At 33.7% G+C, this 26,723-nt stretch overlaps 1 long non-coding RNA gene across 2 annotated transcripts in view; it reads right to left on the reverse strand.

Annotated features, from left to right (window-relative positions):
• Positions 1-280: 280 nt before the first annotated feature.
• Positions 281-26,723, reverse strand: part of MIR3171HG (MIR3171 host gene) — a 351,396-nt gene continuing 324,953 nt past the window's right edge. For both annotated transcript variants that reach the window (NR_148991.1, NR_148992.1), the window contains exon 3: positions 281-596. This is a non-coding gene — a long non-coding RNA (MIR3171 host gene). The remainder of the gene's footprint in view (positions 597-26,723) is intronic.

Raw genomic sequence — 26,723 nt, forward strand, 5'->3', positions numbered from 1 at the left:
CACTCAATAGTGTTAAGCTTTAAATTATAGAAAATGTTATTATGATTAAGACTCAGTTAAATATTAGAAATTTTGAGATCTAAATGTGGTCTTATTACTCAACATATTATTCTGATATTTTTGAAGGTAAGGACAAAGATACTAAGAATTTAGTGGAAAATAAAGAAAGCAACCTTTTGAAGATGATAATATTAATATAATATTTCTTGTAAAAGAGGCTTTCACATGACAAGCCTGGAATATAACTGTAAGGAAAATTCTGTAAAATATAATGAAATGTAATTGTAAGTTAAATTCTTTAAAAGTTTGATGGCTAAAACTATAATACAAAATAATAATATACACATAAAACATACCCATGATTATATTTAAAAACTACAGGTGATATATAGATAGATTCTGATATGAATTTCTAGGTTTCTGCCCTTTTATATAAATTATTTAAAACACTAACACAGGAGTAGCACGTATATGGAATTTCTTCAGGTTGAGTCTTCTGTGTTCTGCTCATCGACTTCTGTGAGTCCTGAATTATTGTGTATGTTCTTCATGAAGATAGAGCCATACTGGTCTGGTTTATTGTTGAGTCCCGAGGTCTAATATAAAACATAGAATACAGAATTCACTTAGTAAATATGGTTGAGTAAACAATCCATATTTGGAAATGGCTGCCACCTTTTACATAAAGGGTAGAGCCATAATTAAATCCATAGTTTCTAAAAATTTATTAAATAACATAGTTTTGGTATTTGATATTCCTAAGAAATTTAATCTTAATCTCTGTAAAATATATGCCACTATATACTCTCCATCTAAAAAATTTTTGATTTCTTTGCAAGAAATTGAGTTAAATGAGTTAAAATAGGTGGTGCTCTTTGACCAGTGCATATCACATATTTTTAAATTCTAATTTTAGAGCAGTTTTAATTTCACAGCATAATTAAGAGAAAGGTGTACAGATTTTCCATAAATCCTTTGCCCCTCCACATGCATTCATTTTCCTGTTATCAATATCCACCACCAGAGTGGTAGATTTGTTACAATGAACGAACCTAGATTTACACATCATTGTCACTCAAGGTTCATAATTTACATTGGGTTTCATTCTTGGTATTTTAAATTCTATGGGTTTGGAGAAATGTATAATGACATGTATTCATCATTATAATATCATGAAGAGTATTTTCACTGCCCTAAAAATCCTTCGTGTTCTGCCTGTTCATCCCTCCCTCCCTCCTCTCAACCCCTGGCATCCACTGATCTTAATTACTGTCTTCATATTTTTTGTCTTTTTCAGAATGTTACATAATTGGAATATGCAGTATATAGACTTTCAGATTAGCTTCCTTTACTTAGTAATATGCACCGAATTTTTCCCCTATATCTTTTCATATCTTGGATGTTCATTTTTTTTTAGTGTTGAATAATATCCCATTGTCTGCAATTACCAAAGTTTATTTATCCACTTACTCACTGAAGGACATGTTGGTTATTTCCAAACTTTAGCAATTATGAATAAAACTTCTACAAATATATATGTTGAGGTTTTTGTGTAAACATGTTTTTAACTCCTTTAGGATAATATCAAGAACAATTGCTTGATTGTATGGTAAGAGAGTGTTTTGTTTTGTATACCCCTGACAGTTGTATTTCAAAGTGGTTATACCAGTTTGCACATTCCCATCAACAAATAATTTGAGTTCCTATTGTCTACATCCTTTCCAGTATTTCATGCTGTTAGTATTTCAGATTTTGGCCATTCTAATAGGTGTGCAGTGGTGTTTCATTGTTGTTTTAATTTGTATTTCCCTGATGACAAATGATGTGGAACATGCTTTTATATACACATTTTCCATCTGTGTATCTTCTTTGGTGAGGTGTCTGTCTAAGTATTTTGCCCATTTTGTAATTGGGCTGTTAATTTTCTAATTGTGAAATTTTTAGGGTTCTTTGTATATTTTGGATGACATTCCTATATCAGATGCATCTACTGCAAATATTTTCTCTGTCTGTGGCTTGTCTTTACTTTCTCTGCACATTGTCTTTCACAGTGCAAAAATTCTAAATTTTAATAAAGCCAAACTTCTCAAATATTTCTTTCTTGGTTTGTACCTTTGATGTTGTATCTGAAAAGTCATTATTATACCCAAGGTCATCTTCATTTTCTCCCATGTTATCTTCTAGGAGTTTTAAAGTTTTGCATATTACATTTAGGTCTATGGTCCATTTCGAGTTAGTTTTTTGTGAAAGATGTAAGGCCTGTGTCTAAATTTGTTTGTTTATGTGTGGATGTTCAGCACCTTTTCTTTTTTTCTTTTCTTTTTTTTTTTTTTTTTTGAGATGGAGTCTCGCACTGTCACCCAGGCTGGAGTGCAAGTGCAGTGGTGCTATCTCGGCTCACTGCAAGCTCTGCCTCCCAGGTTCACGCCATTCTCCTGCTTCAGTCTCCCAAGTAGCTGGGACTACAGGTGCCCGCCAACATGCCTGGCTAATTTTTTGAATTTTTAGTAGAGACGGGATCTCACCATGTTAGGCAGGATGGTCTCCATCTCCTGACCTCGTGATCCGCCCACCTTGGCCTCCCAAAGTGCCTTTTCTTGATAAAACAATTTTTGTTCCATTTTATTGCTTTGCACTGTTATAAAATATCAGTTGACTATATTTATGGTGGTGGACTCCTGGGCTCTGTATTTTGTTCCATTTATCTATTTGTGTATTATTTTATCAATACCACATTACCTTGATTAATTTAGTTTTGTTGTAAGCCTTGAAGTTGGGTAGTGTAAGTATTCTAACTGTGTTATTCTTTTTCAATATTGTGTTGGCTATTCTATGTTTTATGCCCCTCTATATAAACTTTAGAATCAGTTTATCATTATCTACAAAATAACTCACTGGCATTTTTATTGGGATTGCATTGAATCTATAGATGAATTTGGAACAAAACTGATATTTTGATAATATTGAGTCTTCTTATCCATGAAAATGGAAGATCCCTCTATTTATATAGTTTTGTAAAATTTCATTTGATATAATTTTGTAGTTTTCCCTATATAGATCTTGTATATATTTTGTTAGATTTATACATAGGTATTTTATTTTTTGAAGTGTTTATGAATATGATGTTGTGTTTTTAATTTGCTATTCCACTTTTTTAAAATTACTGGTATATAGGAAAGTGATTGGCCATTTTTTATTTGCCCAGGCTGGAGTGCAGTGGAAGATCTCAGCTCACTGCAACCTCCTCCTCTCAGGTTCAAGCAATTCTTGTGCCTCAGCCACCCAAAATAGCTGAAATTACAGGTAGGTGCCACCACAATTGGCTAATTTTTGTATTTTTAGTAGAGACAGGGTTTTACTATGTTGGTCAGGCTGGTCTCGAACTCTTGGCCTCAAGTGAGCCACCTGCCTCTGCCTCCCAAAGTGCTGGGATTACAGGCGTGTGCCATCACACCCAGCTGGAAAGTGATTGACTTTTATATGTTCATCTTGTATTCTGCAAACTTGCTATAATTACTTAGTTCTAGAAATTTTTTTGTTGATTCTTCTGGATTTTCTACATAGACAATCATGTCATCTGCATGCAAATACAGTTTTACTGCTTTTTTTGCAATGTGTATACCTTTTATTTCTTTTTCTTATCTTATTGCATTGGCTAGTACTTCCAGTACAATATTGAAAATGAGTCATGAGAAAGGACATACTTGCCCTATTCTGATTTTAGTGGGAAAGTTTCTAGTTTCTCACCATTAAATATGAAGTTAGGTGTAGATTTTCTGGATAAATAGTTTACCCTATTGAGACGGTTTCCCTCTATCCCTCATATACTTAGAGAAGTGGGTTTTTAAATCATAAATGGGTGATGAATTTTGTTATATGCTTTTTCTGCATCTATTGAAATAATCATGTATTTTTTAGCTCCCTGTTGATTTTATTGATCTTTTCGAGAACCAACTTTTGATTTTGTTAATTTTCTCTATTGATCCCCTTCATAAATTTTATCAGTTTCTGCTCTAATTCTTATTATTTCTTTTCTTTCGCTTACTTTGGATTTAATTTGATCTTACTCTCCTGGTTTGTACGGTATAAACTTAGTTTACTAATTTTATATTTTTATTCTTTTCTAATATATGCATTCAATGACATAAATTTTCTTCTAAGCATTGCTTTTGTTGCATTCCACAGATTTTGATAAGTTGTGTTTTCATTCTTTATTTATTTCAAAATATGTTTTATTTCTGTTTTTTTTCTTTGATCCATGTGTTATTAAAATTGTGTTGTTTTATCAACATATATTTTGAGATTTTCCGGTAATCCTTCTTTAAATGATTTTTAGTTTGATTCTTTGGAGTCTGAGAGCAAACATATTCTTTTAAATTTTTTTATGTGTGTATTGTTGCTCATAATGTGGCCTTTTTGAGGGAGTGTTTCATAAGAACTTGAGAAGAACGTGAATCCTGCTGTTGCTGGATAGTATGTAGATGCTGATTTTACCCAGTTGATTGTTGGTGTTTTGTTCAACTATGTCATCACTTATTTTCTGCCTGCTGGATTTGCTCATTTTTGATAGTGGGGTGTCAAAGTCCCCAACTGTGATAGTGGATTCATTTCTTTCTTCTCACAGTTTTGTTAGTTTTTGCCTCACATAGTTTGATGCTTTTTTTCATTGTCTACATATTAAGGATTGTTATGTCTTTTTAGATAACTGATTCCCTTCTCATTATATAATGCCTTTTCTATCCACAATAATTTTTCTTGCTTTGAAGTCTGCACTATTCAGAATAATATAGCTACTCCTGCTTTCTTTTGATAAGTGTTTGTATGGTTTATTTTTCTCCATTGATTTACTTTCAATATATATGTGCCTTTATATTTAAAGTGAGGTTCATCTGTAGACAACTTATAGTTGAGTATTATTTTCAGATCTATTTTGACAATCTCTGTCTTTTAATAGGTACATTTAGGAAATTGAAAATAATCAGTTCCAACTGACTATTGATACAGTTAGATTAATAACTATTATATTTGTTTACTCATTTTTTATTTGCTGCCCTTGTTCTTTATTCTATTTTTTTCTTTGACTTTTTTCTGTCTTTCTTGACTTTAATTGAACATTTTATATGATTTAATTTTTTTCCTTTCTTAGCATATCAGTTATACTTATTTAAATACTTTTTTAAAATGGTTGTCCTAGAGTTTTCAATATACATTTCCAATGAATCAAAGTCCACTTTGAAATAACACTGTATCCCTTCTTAGGTAGTGCATGTGCCTAATAATAACCTAATAATCCTAATTCCTTTACACGGTCCTTTGTATCATTGCTATCATTCATTTTACCTGTAAATAAATATATGTAACCCACAGTCTTTGGATACTCCACTCCATCTTATTCAGCCTGTGTTCTCTTTCTTTTTAGTTTCCAAGGTTTCTATTGCTAAATTCTCAAGCTCATAGATTTTGCCTTCAGCCATGTTGAGTCTACTGATAAGTTCATCAACGACATTCTTCATTTCTACTACAGTGTTTTTTTGTTTGTTTGTTTGTTTGTTTTAATCTCTATCCCTTCTTTTTGGTATTTTCTTTGGATTTCCACCTCTCTTCTGACATTTCTTATCTGGTTTTGTATGCTGTCTGCTTTATCCATTATAGCACTTGGCATATCAATCATAGTTGTTTTAAATTACTGGTGTTATAATCCCAACATTCCTATCATGTCTGATTCTGATTCTGGCTCTGTATCTTCAAATTGTCATGTTTTGCCTTTCAATGTGCCTCGTAATTTTTCTTGATTGTGAGACATGATGTACTGGGTAAAAGGAAATGCTATAAGTAGGCTCTTAGTACTGTGACAGTAAGGTGTCGGGGGAGTGGAAGCATTTCATAATCCTATAGTCTCAGTCTTGTAGTGAGCCTGAGCCTCAGAACTATGAACTTCACACGTGTTTCCCCATTTTGTTTTGTTTTTTTCATCTTTCTCAGCAAGGGCAAGATAGCTAGAGTGGGCTGGAGTTGGGTCTTTCCCTTCCTCCAAATCAATTAGACTCTGATAATACCCCAACAGGTTAGGATGAGGTAGACTAGTTTCTCCTGAGGGCAGGCCTAATAACAGAGTGTTTTGGTGTACTTCAGTATCGCTCATTTATCCCTCCCCCTGCCGGTAGCACCAGGAGATTTTTCTCCAATATTTACTCTGGAAACCTGGTTGAACTCCTAGAGGTAAATCTCACACTGTTGTGGGAGACCCTCAATGACTGGATTCATCTAGAGTTTTTAACTGTCAGACTTATCCACACTGAGCCCCCAACAATGGATCAACTACAGTACATATTTTGCTAACCCACCATGGCACTGGTCCCCATGGTGGTTTCTGCCCCAGTAAGCCATTCTTCCCTCTATTCACTTGTCTATGACTTCCATCTTGAGGGCAGCAATTTGCCCTGTGTCCTCACTGCTCTTAGGCAACCAAAAAGTGTTCTTAATTTTTCGGTCTGTTCGGTTTTTACTTGTTGTTAGGTTGGAGTGGCAACATCTAAGCCCCTTATATACAGAACTGGAAAGTGGAAGTTCTTTGCAAACGTATTTATTGTTGCTTTTTACTGACTCTGACCTGAGCATGCTGGGTCCTATTTTTCTGCATGTTGATGCAGCAATGGAGAATTTTGTTGTTGTTGTTGTTTTGTTTGCTTTAATAAAAATAAATAACTTCCTGAATGAAGTCTGAGTAGAAAATTGATAGATTATTCAGTAAAAACATGTATTCTGTGATATTATAGGACTTTCTTTTGCTCATTTAAGTCTTTTTTTGTTTTGTTTTTGCTTCTGATTTTCAGGATGAAAATGGTTTCTGTGGTTTTCTACTGAACAACTGATGCATTAACTCACACCAGCAGTGGGTGTCTTGTGCAGAATAAAAGGTTACCTCTCCAGAAAGGGATTATTACACTAACCAATTTTTCATGTCGTGGCTTCAGTGACCAGTTCGTTCTTTAGCAGAACTATAGTGCTGGTCACAGAGTAGCAGTCCACATTACAACCTTTTGGTCACTTTGAAATACTCTTATCTGCTTCAGATAAATTAGTTTGGGTTCTATTTGGAGGGATAAAATGAAGTTTATGGAATCTCAAGCTCATTCCTATCTTGTCATTCCATGATAAATCATGTTGGTTACAAAGCCAATTGTCCTTTGGGGGCAAATATAAAATTGCTCTACAAATATATCAGAGCCATACATCTATTGCTCCTGGTAAATGTTTGCTTTTTAAACTCAGTCTCAATGTAGATACATTTCAGATATGTAAAACAACTTGGATGCTGGTGATAGCTAAAAATAAAAAAATACTGTCCTTTATTCCTTTAATTATAGACATTAAGTGGTATTACTAGAGAATGAAAAAAAAGCCCTCATATTGTTTTGTAAACCCAGGCCCGAGTCTCAGTCATCATATTTGTAAGTGGACTGGATATTTTAACTGAAGTCTTTTGTTTATCCTAAAACTTATCTGAAAAAGAATGAGACTATTTTACTGACAACCACTTTACCGAATCAAAAATAAAAAGCTCTCAGGTTTTGATTCTCTTTAGCTAAATAAGAATACAGAATAGTAACTTATATGGCTCAGGTTATATGGTATGTTTATTGTGCTATAAAATGCTATAATTGGAGTTAAAGGTATTTAATTCTATAAACAAAAATAGGAATGTTTTTACCTATGCCACTTTTCTGACATCTAGGTAGGCTTTGCCCAGGTTTGGGAATGAAAGAGATCTGTATATGTAGCCTGGCTCCAATACATTAGCTGTAAGACTCATAGTATGTTCTGTGAAAATTAACGAAGATAAAATAGTTGAAACTGCTTAGCATACTGTTTTTATATTGTAGTTTTAAAAATTGTAGGTTTCTTTTGTTTTGTTTTGCAATTATTCAATTCACTGTCTTTCATCTTAGCCACAATGAGATCAGCAAGAGAGTGCTAAGATACCATGCTTTCTATTTTCACTGTGGAGGACTTTTGGCTATGAATAATACCTGTGAAATATAAAGGACAGTACCCACTTTCAATAAATCTATAATCTCATCATGACACAAATAAATGTCTGTATGCCCAATGACACAGGAAACAATCGGCATGAGAATTAAGAGAAGCAAATGAACCACTGTGGGCCACAAGAGTAAGATAATTATAATAGCTAATATTGAAGACTATCTATTATGTCACTTAAAACTAAGACCCAAAGAAATAGATCTGAAGTATTAATAGTCATTTTACAACAGTGGAAATCAAGGTTTAGAAATGGTGTCTTGGCTGAATATGGTGGTTTACGCCTGTAATCTCAGCCCTTTGGGAGGTCGAGGTGGGAGGATTGCCTGAGGCCAGGAGTTTGAAACTAGCCTGGTCAACATATCAAGACCCCCATCTCTACAAAAGGGGAAAAAAAATTAGCTGGGCGTGGCAGCACGCATCTGTACTTCCAGCTACTCAGGAAGCTGAAGCAAAAGGATTGTTTGAGCCTGCGAGTTTGAGGCTGCAGTGAGCCACCATCATGCCACTGCACCCCAGCCTGGGTGACGGAGCAATATGGTACCTGGAAAAAAGAAAAGAAACAAAAGAGAGGAAAAGAAGAGGAGAGGAGAGGAGAGGAGAAAAGCCATCTTGTCTAAAGTCACTGAGTGGTACAGCAAGATTTGGAATATAGGAAGTCTGACACAAGAGTTTGTGCTTAATAATCACAAAGTACGATTTTCTTTTGGTTAAATATTTATAGGCAACAAAGGAGGCATCAAGTTAATCTATATACACCATAGAGCCAGAGCAAAGCAAAAAGTACCGACTCATTCAAAACGTGGTACTGTGGGAGCAGCCAAAGGCTTGTCCTATTATAGGGGAGGGTTTAGATTGAAATTTTCAAAATGGGAAATGTAGAAATGAAAGAAGAAACCTTTGAATTCACATAATAGATAAATTAATTCAAGCTTCATCTAAAAATATGCATGCAAACATACACCTTTTCAAAAATTATGACCACAAGAGTGCAGAATTATTTTGCGATTCTAATTCTTTAACATCTTTCTTTTCCTCAAAATTAGCTGGGAACTTCCAGAATCAACTGTTATTGATGAAATGTCATAACAGTAGTGCTATTGCTTACTGCATAGAGTACCTCAATTCAGTGAAAACTGGCCCACTATACTGATAACTCATTATCATTATGGTTACTCTGAGGCAAAGCAATGTAATAAATTTCTACTTGAACCTGCAGAAAAAAATTTAGTACAATTTAGGAATGTGCTATTTATTTTGAAAGTTTGTTTTTCATTGCTATATTACATAAGATTTTACTAATAATTTTAAATTAATATTCTAAAAGTACCATTTCCAGATATATTAGCTATAGTTTTTTGTTGTTGTTGGAAAGATGATACCTGTTTGAATGAGGAAGGAAAGCCTTTTCATATTACTATTAATATCTTAACATCATACAGCACAGAAGGCTGTGTCCATGTAAATAGTATAGATGTGAAAAGTTCATAGAGACTTTCAAAGAAATAATAACTTTGAATAAGACTCTAGCTGTCCCCCAGATTAATATTAGCTCATGTAATCCGAACATATTCCATTAACTCTATGGTGATTTCGTTTTCATGAGCTATTCTTATATTGACTTTAATGTATACCATCAATGATGAAATTCAGTCATCCATGCACTCAGTTAATCTGTTGGGCAGGCAAAACAAACAAGAAAACAAACAAACAAAAATTATTCTCTTTCTCTCTTCGGAGACTAGCTGCATGCATTAATAAGCACTAGGAAACTTAAACATACATTCAAAGGGAAACAAAAATCTATTTAAATAAGGCTGCATCCTATGACAGTTTCTTTCTCTATATATATATTTTTCTATATATCTACAGGTATATTTCTCTCTGTGTATATATGTATGTATGTGTATATATATAGAGAGAGAAAGAGAGAGCAAGAGAGAGAGGGAGAAAAGAGAGAAAGGACTTTCAGAGGATACAGTCTTATCTAAATAATTGTTCTTTCTTTTTTGAATGTATGCTTATCAAGCACCCTGGTCCTTTATTAATGCCTACAGTTTTATTCTGTCATATACTCTTCACTTTTAAATGATAAATTGATGAAATTCAGTAAAGCTTCCTTAGAGTTCTTTTATTCAGCACCTGTTATTTTTGGCACTCATGAAGAATTTTGTATTTAGTATAAATTATCAAACCGACTTACATAAACACATCTGCTCATCTAAGATACTTCATAAACAATAAAAGATGGTTACAATAGGCTGGCTAATTTCTCAACAACATTAATTGTGAAAATTCTCTGTTTTTAGAGTACAAAGGCAAGATTATACTTTTCAGTAGGTAAGAAGTTGAAAGTATTTGCACAACACTTTACTCTGTTTTACTCTTTTAACAGCAATGTATTAGATTATAACTGTTTGATACTGAAGGCAAAAGCAAAATATGAAAATCTAATTACACATAAAAGCAAAGATAAGATGGGAAGAGACTTTGAAAGACCAAATTAATCATTTTATATTTATAACTAGAACATATCTCTACTTATAATATCTGATGATATGCATACTTTTATAAAAAGATAGTGATTATACCAGATCTTGAGTTTGTTTTCCTTCCTGTAAGGAGCTTTCTCTCATTGGCTTTATGTTATTTTCATTAACGAAGGAAGACTTCATTGATGTCCCTCAGAAAAACTTTCTTCAAAAACAACCACTGGAAACTTGAAATCTATCTAATCAAAATATTCCACTTTAGGAGCAATACCCACTCATTTCATTACTATAAGCTTAATGGTTTCAGAGGAATAGCATTTAATATTCTCTTTGAATCTGATTTTTCAAAATCAATTAATGCTTAATTCTAATTTCGGTTCTTCTGGGCCATTGATTCTTTTCCTCATTAGGTTCTTTTAATCACTTGACTTCCTCAAAAAGTTACAGTTCAAGTTTCTTACAGAAAATTTTCTTATGAAAAAAATTATATAAATATAAATGTACCTACCTAAATATGCCTTCACTATTAAATTTTTCCCCTGCATTTGTATAGTGTAAAGAACTGTATACCAGACAAAACAAAATATTACCAATTCTTTTTGCGTGTATCTCTTCAACCTTCAGGAGCAACTTTAATGCAATTTGGGACTTTATAAAAATAGTAAATACAACGTTAATTGTGACCAAGTCCTGTCATAAGGAGGACTTTTATTCAAGGTATTGAGACAGACTAAAAATATCACTTTAGACACGGTCAAATACATGAATACCTATTTTCTTAAATGGTTATTGTCCTTCACTTAATTTGGATTGTGTGTGTGTGTAAATTTTGTTGTCATCTCTATGGAAGGTATACTTATCCTTTTTATTTTGCTTAATGTCTCAAAAATATATCTTCATAAATGTTTCCATTTTGAGAACATTATTTTACAAGGTTATTTCTAGAACTAATCTCCATATTCTGTCAAATCAATTCAACAGTCTGTAAGATCCATAAACTACCAGAGATTTCTAGGCAAATAATTATTGATCAGGCTTAGGGAGACTGACAAAGTCAGTGGTGATTGACTTAAAACACTCATTTAGTCATTGATTTATTCTTTCAACAGCTTGAACACCTTCTATGAATGTAGCAAATGGCTGAGATGTTTGCATGGTCTTATGAAGTCTATTATCTCATGTTAAGACATTAAGAATCTGGAGCAGCAAAAATAATATATTTCTTCTCATCATTCTTTTCTGTCCCCTTCCCTGCCTCACACAAACACATTTTTTCTTATTTTATTAGTTCATAAAAAGAGATGAAAATTTATTTGATGAGAAATTATTCCTTTAATTGATGAATGTCACTGTGAATCATTACTTCTTTTTTCATAGCTCATTGCTAGTATACCTATTAAAATTACTTTCATATGTCTTTATATTCATCAATTTTATCACAAAGTAATTTTTATTCATCCTCTTCTACCAGTCATCACAAAAGTTCCCAGAAGGTGAGGTATTTTTCAAATCTAAATAACTTTCCCTACATAGCACCACACAAGGATCTCAGATGGAATGGAAGTTTGTCAAAGAAGAGCCAAGAGCTTAATAAGAATAAATAATATTCAAATTCTCAAGTCATCTGGAGAGCACTTTCTTTCTAAGACATGTTTCTATAGATCTACTTTCAAGAATAAAGATAACTCTTGCTTTTTCTAAGTCATTTATCTACCTTACTGCCATTTAATGTCTGTTCTCTAAAAAGCTCATTGCCAAATGTTTTTCCATATATATATATATGGAAAAGAATATATATATATATATATATATATATACACACACACACACACACACACACACGCACACACACATGCACACATATACATATATATTGCTCATAGAATTCTGAAGAGAACAGGAAGGCACTGCTGGAAGGAAATACACTCTTGATAGAGAATAGTGTGTTACCATTCTGTATATAATGTGTTACCAACTGTATATAAAATTCAAACAGGAAGCACAACCCCAACCAAAAGAACAGGCCTTCAATTTTGGAAGTTCCAGCACAGGAAAACTACTGTGAGGTGTATTCTTGAGCCATCATGCAGCTTCCGCACTCTTGATATTATATCAAAGTACCTAATTTTGTCAAGCAACTTTAAGATAGTTTGATTAGGTCTTACAAAAATTCTTTCACATAATCCTAAAGCAACACTGTAAGAAGGGTATTATCTCAAGTTTCCAGAAGAGGAAACTAGCATCAAAGAGACTAAGAAATTACCTCAGGCCACACAGTGAGTAAGTGGAGGACTGATATTGGAACATAAATTTATTTGATTCAAAATCTGTATTTTTCCACTGATATATATGTTTACTAGATTCAGACAATTACTAAAAACGAGTTAGGTGATATTACAGAAATAAAGATGAGTCAGTTGGTGTTTTCACCTCTATTATTATTACTTAATGTTATTATTTATTATAGAACATATGTACTGTAAAACTATTCTCCTAAAATTTTGACATATATTTATCCAAAAGCAAGCAATCATTTCAGACTATAACTGTACTCCATAGTGGTTCTTAACCATCAGTATGAACCGGAGTCACAAGAACTTAAAAAATCTAGATGCCCAAGATCAAAGGAGACATTGTGATTTAATTAATGTGAGTTGAGAGGTTGATATAAAAACGAATGTGAATGACATATATATGTATATATATGCATATGTACATATATATTTCCCAGGATTGAGAATCACAGAACGACCATATTTGTAATGCAAATCTGCACAGTATGTGATGCGGAAAGAACCCTTTAATGATTTTTGATGTGCCCTATTTCTAGAGTAGATTTTTGAAAATATTGATTTTTTGATTATCTGTGAACACCGTAAGTATGAATAGTATCTCCCTCTCTTATTAAAGCACAGACGGAATAGGTTAGGGTATTCTGCAACAGCACACAGCCCCAACATCGGAGCAGCTGAACATAATGGTTCATTTATCATAGGTGGTAAATCCATGGTGATTCCTACTACCTATTCAGGACTTCAAAATAAGATGGAATTATGCTAATTGCTTCTGTCTTGTGATCTCCTTGATTACTGTGATGAGGTAAGACATTACACAAAGAGCTCAGCTCCACTGTTTGTCAGAATATGTGTGTGCCAATCATAGCCTATTGATTTGAAATATTCACAAGTCATCATGTAACTACAGGGAGGTTAGGTAATGCAGTAAAAAACACGGAATATGAGACTGACATGACAGTACTATCTCCGCCACATAACTGAACTAAAGGGACACTTTTATTTTCATTTTATTAGAGAGATGATATAGATGACAGAGATATAGATAGAGATATATAGATGATAGATAGATAGATAAATGGAAGATAGAAAGGAGATAGATGGACATATGTTGAGGGCTGAAAAGCTGTGAATAACAGTACAACCGACAGAATTCTGAAATGATGTCCCACAATAGCTGCACTGACCTGAAGGTCCAGGATTTTAGAAAATGTGGAATGGTTTGTTTTGTTTTGTCTTCCTGAATGAACTGCTAGTTTTGTTCCTGTTTTCTTTATTGAAAAATTATCCTTTGCTATTGATAGGATTTTATCTGTATTTTAGGGTGAAATTAAAGCAAGTAGCTTACTCTCAGCCTTAGGAATATAGCTCGACAAATACATGGTCTGTCAAATGGCAAAAATGGTGCAAGTCAACAAATGGGTATGAAACTCAGGTGATTTACTGGACAGTGTTCCACTGTGATTGGTTGATGATGATAGAGATGAGTTAAAGTTGGATCTCCAATTAGTTCCTCTTAGATGAAAATAATAATCTTGCAATAAGGGATTACAAGGCATGAAACATTTATATACTTCCCATCCTGGTAATTGTGGGACATGCCTATAAGTTATGGAAGCACATACTTCATTTAGATAATTTGTTTAGAGTAGCCAACTCTAGCTACTCTCTGGTATATACTTTCTAATGACTTTCTAAATTTAACTGAGAGTTAAATATGGAAAATATTTGGCTAGCAAAAAGAATGTCTATTTTGAGCAACAAGCATAGGCATATTATTCTTTCAGTGTCAGATGCTCAAAATCAGTGTTTTTATCAATCAGCAATTGGATTTTTCTGCTAATGTTAGACACATTTTAGGGAATGCTGTGTACTAGAGGTTTCCCTCTTTTGAAAAACCTTACCTCACATCCATTCCTTATTCTGTTATTATTTGGCTTTCTATTAAAAAACAATTCTAATTTTCTATCCGATTGCTCAATCTGATTCTCAATAAATTATTTCATCTGGATAGTTGTTGAGTTATACAAAGCTGAACCAGAAAGAGCTCCTCACTTCAATAGTTGACAATCAACTGATGAAGAAAGCCAACATGATTACTATAATGTAAAACATATAAACATCATGAATAGTAGTATGTAGGCTTAGAAAAAAAGTATTCGATAAAAGAAATGGTGGCATGGTGGCATTTAAGCTGAACTGTAAGGGTCAGGCAAAATGACTAGAGCAGTATCAATATAAGTAATTGGATAGATATGGAGAGACGTATAGGGTGATGGGAAGATTAAGTGATTCAACTTAAGTCAACAAAGTCTGCATGAGCAGGAAAGTATATGTTACAGCTTGATTAAGAAGTATATATTATTTTGTTTTTAAGGTGTAAGCTCATTCTGTAAGCAGAGTTTCTTGAGCTATGGTTGATATGATTGTGTCAGTCTTTTAAGAAGTTAATTAAATATGGAAAAGATGTGTAACAAGAAAAACTTCTAAGAGATTATTGAAGTGTCTTGTAATAAATGATGAGAGGTGAAACTAAATCAATACCACAAAAGAAAGGAGATGAATGCCAAATACATTTGTGGGTAGAAGCCCTTATCTATTTATCATGGAAGAGAGTGAGAAATTTAAAAAGTAGGTTGTAGATTTAAGCATGGGTGATCGGGTGTTAAATCGATGCTTTTATCAAAGACAAGATAGTTAAAAATACAGACTATATTGTGTGGATGAATACAATGAATGTAACTTTATATATTTCAGAATATGGGTTTGGAAAAGAGAATTGCTTCAATTCAGCAGTCAGGACTTTCCTTACCCTGATTAGTCAAATTCAGTGAATCTTATTCCAGCAAGATACAGTGAAAATTCTGTACCTCTCTGAGGTCAGATTTGACTTAAACCAAAGGTCCTCTAATCTCTTATGTGCTGTATCTGATTTTCTTGTCCAAAACCTTATCTGAGTTTGACTAAATTGATCCCCAGCATGAGCATACTTCCCGATGTCTGACTACTAGACTGTTTCTGAACAACATTTCCTTCTTGACCTCTACATTTTTCAAACTTCTTTATCTTTATCTGTACCATCACACCAGCTTGCTATTTATTACTTCTGTTAGTACCTCTTTCTTATATCTACTTTGATTCTCCTGGACCTGGATGTCACTATTTTATTCTTAACACTGTCTTTGACCCAGACATAGGGCTTTTACCTCACTCTTAGATTATATAATACATAACAAAGAAGCATCATGGTAGAAATTTAAGATAGAAACAGACCATCTTGATAAGCCTATGAGGCCAATTCACTACCTTAGTACTTTTTTATCTAACTGGAGGCCATAAATAACATCTTAGGATAGAATTGACCAAAAATAAGGGCCTCATTTAGATGCCTGGTAAGCATGAGCATTTGAAAAAACTTAAGTTATTTAAAAGTATTTTAAATAACAATTTTAGTTCTCTTTCATACCCTAGTCAGACACTGAAAACAACTAGTATTAATTGGCAAAGGCACTTAAAAGCATCAATTTATACAATTCTTGGAAATCAGTATGTTCCAGGATACATAAACTCATGTCTGAAAGTTGCAATGATCCTTATGTGCTAATTCTGTAATTTATTTGAGGATAGGATGGCCACTTTTACTTGTTCAGTTCTGCTGTATATATCTACTGCTCTAAAAACAATTAACACTAAATGATGCATTTATAAGTGAGACTGATATCAATAAAATACATACATTATCTTAGCCTGAATTCAGGCTATTTTTCATGTACTTACTTTTCTGATGAATCATAAAACAAACAGAATCATTTGAAATATAGCAATGCTCTCCGTAAAGCACATATAACTCCCAGAGGATGGGATTTATGTTTCTTTGAATGACAGTCAACGCTGTAAAAGTTTAGTTAGAAGAATTGCAGGTCAGAGATCTTGGATGTGAGTGACATTGGCAGCATAAAGAAATGATCAGGGAATAAGTTTTTTTGAACTTTGTCAGTCAATTTTTTAAAAGTCAGAAGTCTTATAAAGAAACATAAAGGAATAGTTTGTCAAATGCAGTTATACCTAGAAAAATTGAAACGATATAAAATAATTAAAACAAAATGAAAGACATAAGCTGAGCATGAGCTCAAAATTAGTGATAAAAAGAATATTTTTCACCTTTTATTTCGATACGACTTTTGATTTACTGAAGAGTTGCAAAGATAGTACAGAGTTCCCATGTGCTCTGCTTCTAGCTATTCCTAAGGTTAACAGCTCACATAATCTGATGTGTTTATCAAAACTCAGTAATTAACTTTAGTAAAATGTATTAATTACAAACTTTTTTGTATTCAACAAGTTTGATCACAATTTTTTTTTTTTGCTGATCCAGGAGTCAGTACAGTATATCATGATTCACTCAGCCATCATGTCTTCTTAGTCTCCTTTAATTTGTGATACTTTCTCAGTCTTTCCTTGCTCTTGTTTTGGTTTGGCTTGTTTCCATTTTTGTTTTCGTTTTTTATCTTGGCATTCATTTTTTATGCCTACCAGTATAGTAAAATGTATTTCAGTTGAATTTCTCTAACGCTTTCTTAAAGAATGTGGTTATGGTTTTGGGGTAAGAATGACAGAGAGATGAAGTGCTTTCTTTTCTTACATTATATCAGGGGAGAGTTTTGTGATAGTAACATGAATGTTACTGGTGATTTTAGCCCTAATCACTTGGGTAAGGTGTATTTTCCTGGTTCTTTCCTATAAAGTTTTGATTTGTCCCTTCCCATATTTTATTTTTTAAAGAAGCAAACCACTAAATCCAGCCACCACTTAAGGAGGAAGAATTAAGCTCCTCCACGTCCTTGAGGGAAGAATATTAAATAATTTGTGGAGATATTTTAAAACCACCAGAGTAATTATTAAATATTTTGAGCAAGATCCCTTGAGACTGTACACATGTCTTATTCTCTTTAAAGTTTTGCTCACTCATTTTAACATTCATCAGTAGATCCTGCCTCAAAGTGGACATTTCCTTTCTTTCTGTTACTGCAGTACAGGATGAGCTTGTATTTTCTGTCCTAGCTTCAGACTCAGTCATTTCTCCAAGAATCTTCTATAACAGTTTATCAGAGAATAGTATTTAGAAACCAAGATATATGTGGGTGTTAGCTGTGATAATTTCTACTGAAATTTCATTGTTTCTAGGCCATCTTACCACACAGAGCTAGGACATACATGTATGTATACTAAACGTATGTATGCAAATAAATGTATAGAAACATTTCTTTAAGTATCCATCTGTACCTCTCTCTCTCTCTCTCTTCCAGGGTTTATTCTAGCTTTCTCCCTCATTATTTGTGACTTCTACCTCTTACCATAGTCACCTAGTTTCTATTTTCTACAATTTACTTATTTATTTGCTCAACTCTAGTATACAAGTAATTTCAGAATTATCAACTAGGGTACAATGTTTATGGACATTTCTTTTTGTATTTAGCTCTACGTTACTGGATGAGGATGGGTTAGGGTAAGACCCTGCTTAGAGTCTTTAACTTTTCTAACTCTTTTGTACTATATGTCTTATCTGAAATTTATTCGAAAATTATATATAGGTAAAAAATTGAAAATGCAAAATCACAAATTAAATCTCTTTTACTGAAACTGCCATTTCCCAATTATGTTATATTTATCTCAAGCCAGAAGAGGAGGATATGAAAAGATCATTTGCTACGCACTGTGCTCTCTAGGGATTTGCAATATAATATGTATTTATTTTTCCTGTACTTATATGATTGCAAGCCTTTAATAACAAAACTGTAGTGAAAAACACTTCATGGGCCTGAGATAATGGTACTTCCTTGGGACATGTAAGGACCACGACTTTTAAGGAATTGAATCTCAAAAGCCTTGAGTAATGTAATTACAATGGGGTTATTGGATTGTTTGCTGAATGCAGTTCGGTTCTAATAAAAACTACAAGCACAACAAACTCTACCCAGAGACCTAAAAAATAAAATTAGACCACACTCATGCTTAGAAATAACCTCTTCTTTTGGGACACATTTTCTCCATAATACTTTCATTTATTTGATTGGCATTGGATTTGGTGGCTAAATCAGGGAAATGTTTTATTTCAGTTTAGAAGATTCTTAAAAGAGGGCTCACATTCTAGAGACTTAAGTCAAGCTAGATTTTTCATTCATACTACTCATATTTAAGTCTTTTAAAAAATGAATTGTTGTCCAAAGCTTTTGCTAAAATGCATAAGGTAAACCCTTGCAGGTATATCTGGTCTGGAATTAAATTTCCTTGACAATAAGTATCAGGTTAACTGGTCAAAGTATTGCATTCTCTTTGATGCCAAAGTTTAATATCTTGCTGCTTCCATTAATCCTCTTTTTTTCCTCATGAAACAATTTTCATTTATTTACTCATTTCAACATTTTTATTTGTATGTGAGACAGTAACTTTGACCAGGAATTGCTAGAAAGGAGAAGAGACTGGACCCAACTCACCCCTCATATGTCCTAAAACTCAAATTCTGCAGTTTAGCCCACCAAATGTCATATTATTAGTTAACTGTAGATTTTGAATTTTCTTACAGCAGTCTATCCTCATCACTTATGTTGCATTAGATCCTTAAAGTAAAATACCTTCATAGAAAGTTCATTGGTAGAGTGGAGAGGAATGTCCCAACCTGTCTTTAAAGGATTGTTCTAAAGGTCCTTATTGAGTGACATTGAACTGGCTCATTATTTATGTTCCCTGAAAATATAAATTGAGGTATCTAATTTAGAGAGTTTCATGAGTGTCAAATGTGATAACAAATGAGGTTTATAGCATACAAACCTACCACAATCTCAATTTAAATGAAATTTCAGTGATTGCTCCTCATACAAATGCTTATCTACATTTCAACACTGAAAAAGCATGTGAAATCTAAATAGTGGACAGTGGCCTTCCTGAAATTCTCTATACTAAAATTAGTTCTCCTATACAATGTAATGAAATATTTGGTAAGACATAGGCAAATTCAAATTCAGGGAAAGAAGGGTCAGTAAATTATGCAATACTCCCTCTTTTTTCTGCTTTACATTTCCGTGTTTTAATTAGGATTCTCTATTTGATTATTTTCTATTTGCTTTATACATTATATTTGAAAGTAATTGAAGCAAAAAATTAATAGTTTCTAAAAGTAACTGAAGAATCCATTTCAAAGGCTACCATATGACATATTTTCAACATGATTAAGGCTTTTTTCATTTGCATGCTAATTTATGCATGTAGATACAATTCTGTATAGGTAAAATTCAAATTTTTAAAATGTTGATATTAAGATTTTGTGCCTATATATTTTCATTAATAATCCTGATTTTTTTTTCTTTTCTTTTCTTTCTTTTATTTAATATTAAGAAGATGTTTAAGATTGATATGGTTTGGCTATGTGTCCTCACCCAAATCTCACCTTGAATTGTAATAATCCCCATGTGTTGGGGGAGGAACCTGGTGGGAGGTAATTGAATCATGGGGTTTGGTCTTTCTCGTGCTCTTCTTGTCATAGTGAATAAGCCTCATGAGATCTGATGGTTTTATAAAGTGGAGCTCCCCTGCACATGCCCTCTTGTCAGATGCCACGTAAGATATGATTTTGCTTTTCATTCGCATTCTGCCATGATTTTGAGGCATCCTAAGCCATGTGGAACTGTGAGTCTATTAAACTTTTTTCCTTACATGTACACATATGTTTATTGGAGCACTATTCACAATAGCAAAGACATGGAATTAACCCAAATGCCCATCAATGATAGACTAGATAAAGAAATGTGGTACATATATACCATGGAATACTATGCAGCCATAAAAAAGAAAAAAGATCATGTTGATTGCAGGGACATGGATTAAGCTGGAAGCCATTATCCTCAGCAAACTAATACAGGAAGAGAAAAACAAACAGTGCATGTTCTCACTTATAAGTGGGAGGTGAACAATAAGAACACATGGACACAGGGAGGGGAACAACTCAGTGGGGCCTGTCAAGGGGTAGGGTTGGGGAGAGAGAGCATTAGAAAAAATACCTAATGCATGCTGGGCTTGATACCTAGGTGATGGGTTGATAAGTGCAGCAAACCTCCATGGCACATGTTTACCTATGTAACAAACCTGCACATCCTGCACATGTACCCTGGAACTCAAAATAAAAATAAGAAATAATAAATAAATAACTCAGCCTTGGGTATGTCTTTTTAGCAGCATGAGAATGGATTAATACACTAAATTGGTACCAGTAGAGTGGGGCATTGCTGTAAAGGTACCTGAAAACGTGGAAATAACTTTGGAACTGGGTAACAGGCAGAGGTTGGAACAGTCTGGAGGGCTCAGAAGAAGATAGGAAAATGTGGAAAAGTTTGGAACTTCCTAGAGATTTGCTGAATGACTTTGGCCAAAATGCTGATAGGAATATGGACAATGAAGACCAGGTTGAGGTAGTCTCAGATGGAGGTGAGAAACTTGTTGGGGAGTGGAGTAAAAGTCACTGTCGCTATGCAAAGAGACTGGTGGCATTTTGCTCCTGCCTATAGATCTGTGGAACTTTGAACTTGAGAGAGATGATTTAGGGTAATTTGTGGAACAAATTTCTAAGCAGCAAAGTGTTCAGGAGGAAGCAGAGCATGAAACTTTGAAAAATTTGCCCCTGACTATGCAGTAGAAAAGAAAATCCCATTTTCTGGGGAGATATTAAATTTGTATAAGTAAGTAACAAGGATCCAAATGCTAATCATCAGGACAGTGGGGAAAATATCTCCAGGGCATGTCAGAGACCTTCATGGCAGCCTGTCCCATCACATGCCTGGAGGCCTAGGAGGGAAAAATTGTTTCCTGGGCCAGGGTCTGCTGTGTACAGTCTAGGGACTTGGTGCCCTGCATCCCAACCACTCCAGCCCTGGCTAAAAGGAGCCAAGGTACAGCTTGTGCCTTCACTTCAGAGGGTGCAAGTCCCAAGCATTGGGAGCTTCCACATGGTGATGTGCCTGCAGGTGCACAGAAGTCAAGAATTGAGGTTGGAGAACCTCCCCCTAGATTTCAGAGGATGTAAGAAAATGCTTGGATGTCCAGGCAGAGGTATGTTGCAGGGGCAGAGCCCTCAAAGAGAACCTCTGCTAGGGTAATGCAGAAGGGAAATATGAGGTGTGAGCTCCCACACAGAGTCCCCACTGATTCACTGCCTAGTGGAGCTATGAGAAGAGTGCCACCATCCTCCAGACCACAGAATGGTAGATCCACTGACAGCTTGCGTCCCACATCTGGAAAAGCTGCATACACTCAATGCCACACAGTGAAAGCAGCCAGGAGGTAGGCTGTACCCTGCAAAGCTACAGGGGCAGAGCTGTCCAAGGTTGTGGGAATCCACCTCTTGCATCAACATGTCCTGGATATGAGACAGGGTGTGAAAGGAGATAATTTTGGAGCTTTTATATTTGACTGCCCTGTTGGATTTTGGAGTTGCATGGGGCCTGTAGCCCCTACATGTTGGCCAATTTCTCCTGTTTGGAACAGTTGTATTTACCCAATGCCTGTACTCCCATTGTATCTAGGAAGTAACTAACTTGCCTTTTGATTTTATAGGCTCATAGGCGGAAGGGATTTGCCTTGTCTCAGATGAAACTTTGGACTGTGGACTTTTGAGTTAATGCTGAAATGAGTTAAGACTTTGGAGGATTGTTGGAAAGGCATTATTGGTTTTGAAATGTGAGGACATGAGATTTGGGAGGGACCAGCAGCAGAATTATATGGTTTAGCTCTGTGTCCCCAGCCAAATCTCACCTTGAATTTTAATAATCCCCACATGTCATAGGAGGGATCTGGTGGGAGGTAATTGAATCATTGTGGAAGGTTTTTTTTCCATGTTGTTCTTGTGATAGTGAATAAGTCTCACAAGATATGATTGTTTTATAAAGGGGAGTTCCCCTGCACATGCTCTCTTGCCTGCCACCATGTAAGAAGTGACTTTCCTCTTCCTTCACCTTCTGCCATGATTGTCAGGCCTCCTCAGCCATGTGAAACTGTCAGTCCATTAAACTTACTTCTTTTATAAATTACCCAGTTTCAGGTATGTCTTTATTAGCAGCGTGAGAATGGACTATTACAAGAACATATGGAGAAACTAACAATTTTATTTAGAATTTTTTTTTTCTAATGATTGTTTCTGGTTAATTTTCAATGCTAAACCAGACAGATTAAAATAAGACAATTTAGTGTTCTATAAAAAATGCCACAATGTATTAATAATTCCCTCTACTTTACTGAGCTGGCATTATCAAAGTTCTTTATATTATTTTGATACTTGAGAAAATTATTTGTTTCCATGAAAAAATGAGTACAATGCCTAATGATAGTTTAAATTCTCATGTTGATTAATTCAATAAAATATTTGTGGAGTATTTGCCATATGCAAAGTGGGTTACTTGGTGCTATGGATGTAGCAAGGAACAAAGGAGATCTGGCTCCTGCCTATGTGAAATTTACAGTCTATCCTACTGAGGCAATCAAATACTTGGTAATTATGAGTGACTTAGGTTGATCTCTGGAAGGTGACCTGATGGAAACTGTGGATTGGTTGTTCAGCCAACATTCCATCATCCTTATGGAGAACTAGCTTCACAGACTTTATTAGAATAGTTTTAAATGCAAATTTGGTTCTACGAGTAAAATGGAATCATGAGACTTGGAAGGTCTTTTATTTTCCATTCTTCAGCTCTTGAGGGTCAAAAGTCATTTGTGTGATTGCAATGTCTTGATTCTGGATTATTGACACCTAACTAGTTTAAGAACTAAACTAATAAATAAGAATCATTCTTAAGGAGCAACTCATGCTACCCTTTTCAGGTAGCTTCTCAGAGGTAGTAGTATCCCTGATTCATTGATTCTGTTTAGTTTTGGGAGGTTTTCCTTCATGCCCACCCAATATTCTAAAACTCCTATCTTCCGAACCACTTTTGCTGATACAATCCCTTCTTGATGTAGATAGCTAAAGAGGTTCCTATTATCATCAATAAGCCTTGGTAGCTATGGTTGACTAAGAATTAACAGTCAACTTAGTAGACAGAATTTTAGGCAGTGAAAACATTAAGTACAAAGGCCAAGAGACAAAAAGGTACACAGACTGTGTTAGCAAAGGAAGGGTGCTTATGTGACTGGGCTGCAGAGAGGCGAGTTAATTATGCCATTCCAGGAGAAAGATGCAGATTGCTTATATGGATCCAGGATTTTGTGTGTTGATCCCCACACAAAGGGCAGTGTCAGACATAAAAGTTGTTGAGCCTAGAAATAATATAATCAGTTATTTTTTAAAGGTCATTTTAACTCAGGATAAAAATGAATTTAAATGACTTTAGAATAGTGCTGGGAAATGGGTTATGGATTTTTTACAAATAAACAATGTGGAGATAATGGTTACATGGACTAGGATGGTGGCAATCAAGTTAAAGAAAACTCCATGAATTAAAGAAATACTTAGATATGAAGTTCATAGGATTGTTATTTGAATAGCCATGCAAGCTAAATGTAAATGAGGTATCAAAGATGATGTCAGGTTTCTGATTTGTAAAATTGAGTTGAAGGTAGTGCCTTTTGCTAAGACATGGATCACAGAATACCAAGATTCTTGAAAAGGATTAAATGTTCACATCTGGACAAGTTGAATTTGAATTGCCTGTGGAAAATCAGAGAAAGAAAATACATATTTAAACATACATTATTAGTCAAGACTGGTTAAATGGTGAAACAGCATAAACATAAGCTTAAAATGATGGTGTCACCTTAAATATTAATCACAAACAGTAAAAGCAAATTAATAAATTATTATAATTTTAAATTATTAGATTTTTGGATTATTGGAATATTTTAGATTATTGGAAGGTAAAAAATATAAAATAAATAATTAAATCATAATTTTAAATTAATGAATGAGATTTCATCTAATTTTTATTGTCTCCAAGGAAATGGTTCAGGTTTATACATGAGTATTAGACTAGGAATAAAAAAATCAACATAGAGTTAAAAAAAATCAACATAGAGTTAAAAAGTGCCTTAAATAAAACAAAACTAATATAATATGTTTTTAGGTTTACGACTAGGCACAAAGTGATGTTGTTCATTTGTATTATTAGGTAGATAGACAGGAGAAAATAGATATTTGGCTGTTTACAAATTAAAAAAACAAGTCTATTATAAAAATCAAAACTCCATCTCAGTACAAAAATCATGTCAAACATTTAAACTACTAAAAGGAATAAAGATAAAATATAAATTAATTCTTAAAGAGACACCAAGATAATTTCCTTTCATTCATTTGCTCACATTTTGTCTTTTTATGTCTTTCACTCTCTTGGCAGAGCAATAAAACGCTTTAACATCTTCTTGGCCTAATAAGATGTATACATCAAAACCCACACTGCCAGTAACATTTCTCATATTTCAGAATGTAACATTTTAATCATAAAGAAATAATAGAATGAAGAAAAATATAATCTTACATAGGATGTGATGACTCATTAATTCTCACACTAATAATTTGTATAAATCAAGGTGAATGAATATAAACTACATAAAATACTTGAGAGGTTTAAGAAAATTTACAGTATCTTACTTGGTATCTAATGAATTTTTAATTCATGCAAGTTTTAATAGAAGGCATATAGCAAGCCATTTCAAAATTTATGTTGAGATACACTCAATTACAATTAATTCACTGCACCACTGAAGCAGAAAACAGTTGACTTTATGAATATTAGGAATAGTGTCTGATTGCATGGTGCCATATCTATTACATTTGACTGCTGGTACATTGTGTAGCACCATGGAAATAAAATTGAATTGAGATCAACATAAAGTAACTGTGACTATATACACAATGGCTGTTTTGATGTAATTTAATAAAATTAAGTGCTACATTTTTTTAAGATAACTTAATTTGTATTTTTTTGTTTTGTGCTAACATGCATTTGAATTAAAATAACATAATTGTATATTTAAGCATAAGCATGAATTTAAAACTACAAAAATATTTTTCTTAAGAAATTAATTGCTATTAGTTTGGATATTTTAAATAGCTGCTATTTTGATTATGAGCATTTTAACATACCTATTGAAGGTGATTTTAATATTTTTCATACTGTATTAAAACAGATCATTTTGAAGTTTAAATATGTCATTAAATGTACTTCAATGACATTTATTGAATTGATCGTTGCCATAGATATGAAATAAATTTTGCAAAAAATCAACTACTAATCATAGATGATTTTTATAAAAGTTATTTTATAACTTTTGCATCGTTGTTTGGGATGTAATGATGTACAGATTCTTGCTTCTACTTTTTTTTTCCTTCACATTTTATTTTAGATTTAGAGGGTACACCTGCAGATTTGTTACATGAGTATATTACATGATGCTGAGGTTTGGACCCTGTCATCCAGGTAGTGAGCATAGTACCCAATAGAATAGTACCCAATAGGTAGTTTTTAGAGCCTCTACCTCCTCTCTTCCTCCTCCGTCTAGTAGTCTCCAGTGTCTATTGTTTCCATCTTTATGCCCATGTATATTCAATGTTTAGATTGCACTTATAAGTGAAAACCTGCAGTATTTGGTTTTCTGTTCCTGTGTCAATTCGCTTAGAATAGTGATCTCTAGCTGCATCCATGTTGCTGCAAAGGACATGATTTCATTTTGTAATATGGCTGTATAGTATTTGATGGTGTATGTGTATAATGTTTTATTTATCCAATCCACCATTGATAGGCACCTATATTGATTGCATGTCTTCGCTATTATGAATACTATTGCAATGAACATACACGTGCATATGGCTTTTCGGGAAAAGGATTTATTTTCCTTTGGGTAAATACCTAGTAATGGG

This window comes from Homo sapiens, chromosome 14, assembly GCF_000001405.40.
Source record: "Homo sapiens chromosome 14, GRCh38.p14 Primary Assembly".
Lineage (NCBI taxonomy): Eukaryota > Metazoa > Chordata > Mammalia > Primates > Hominidae > Homo > Homo sapiens.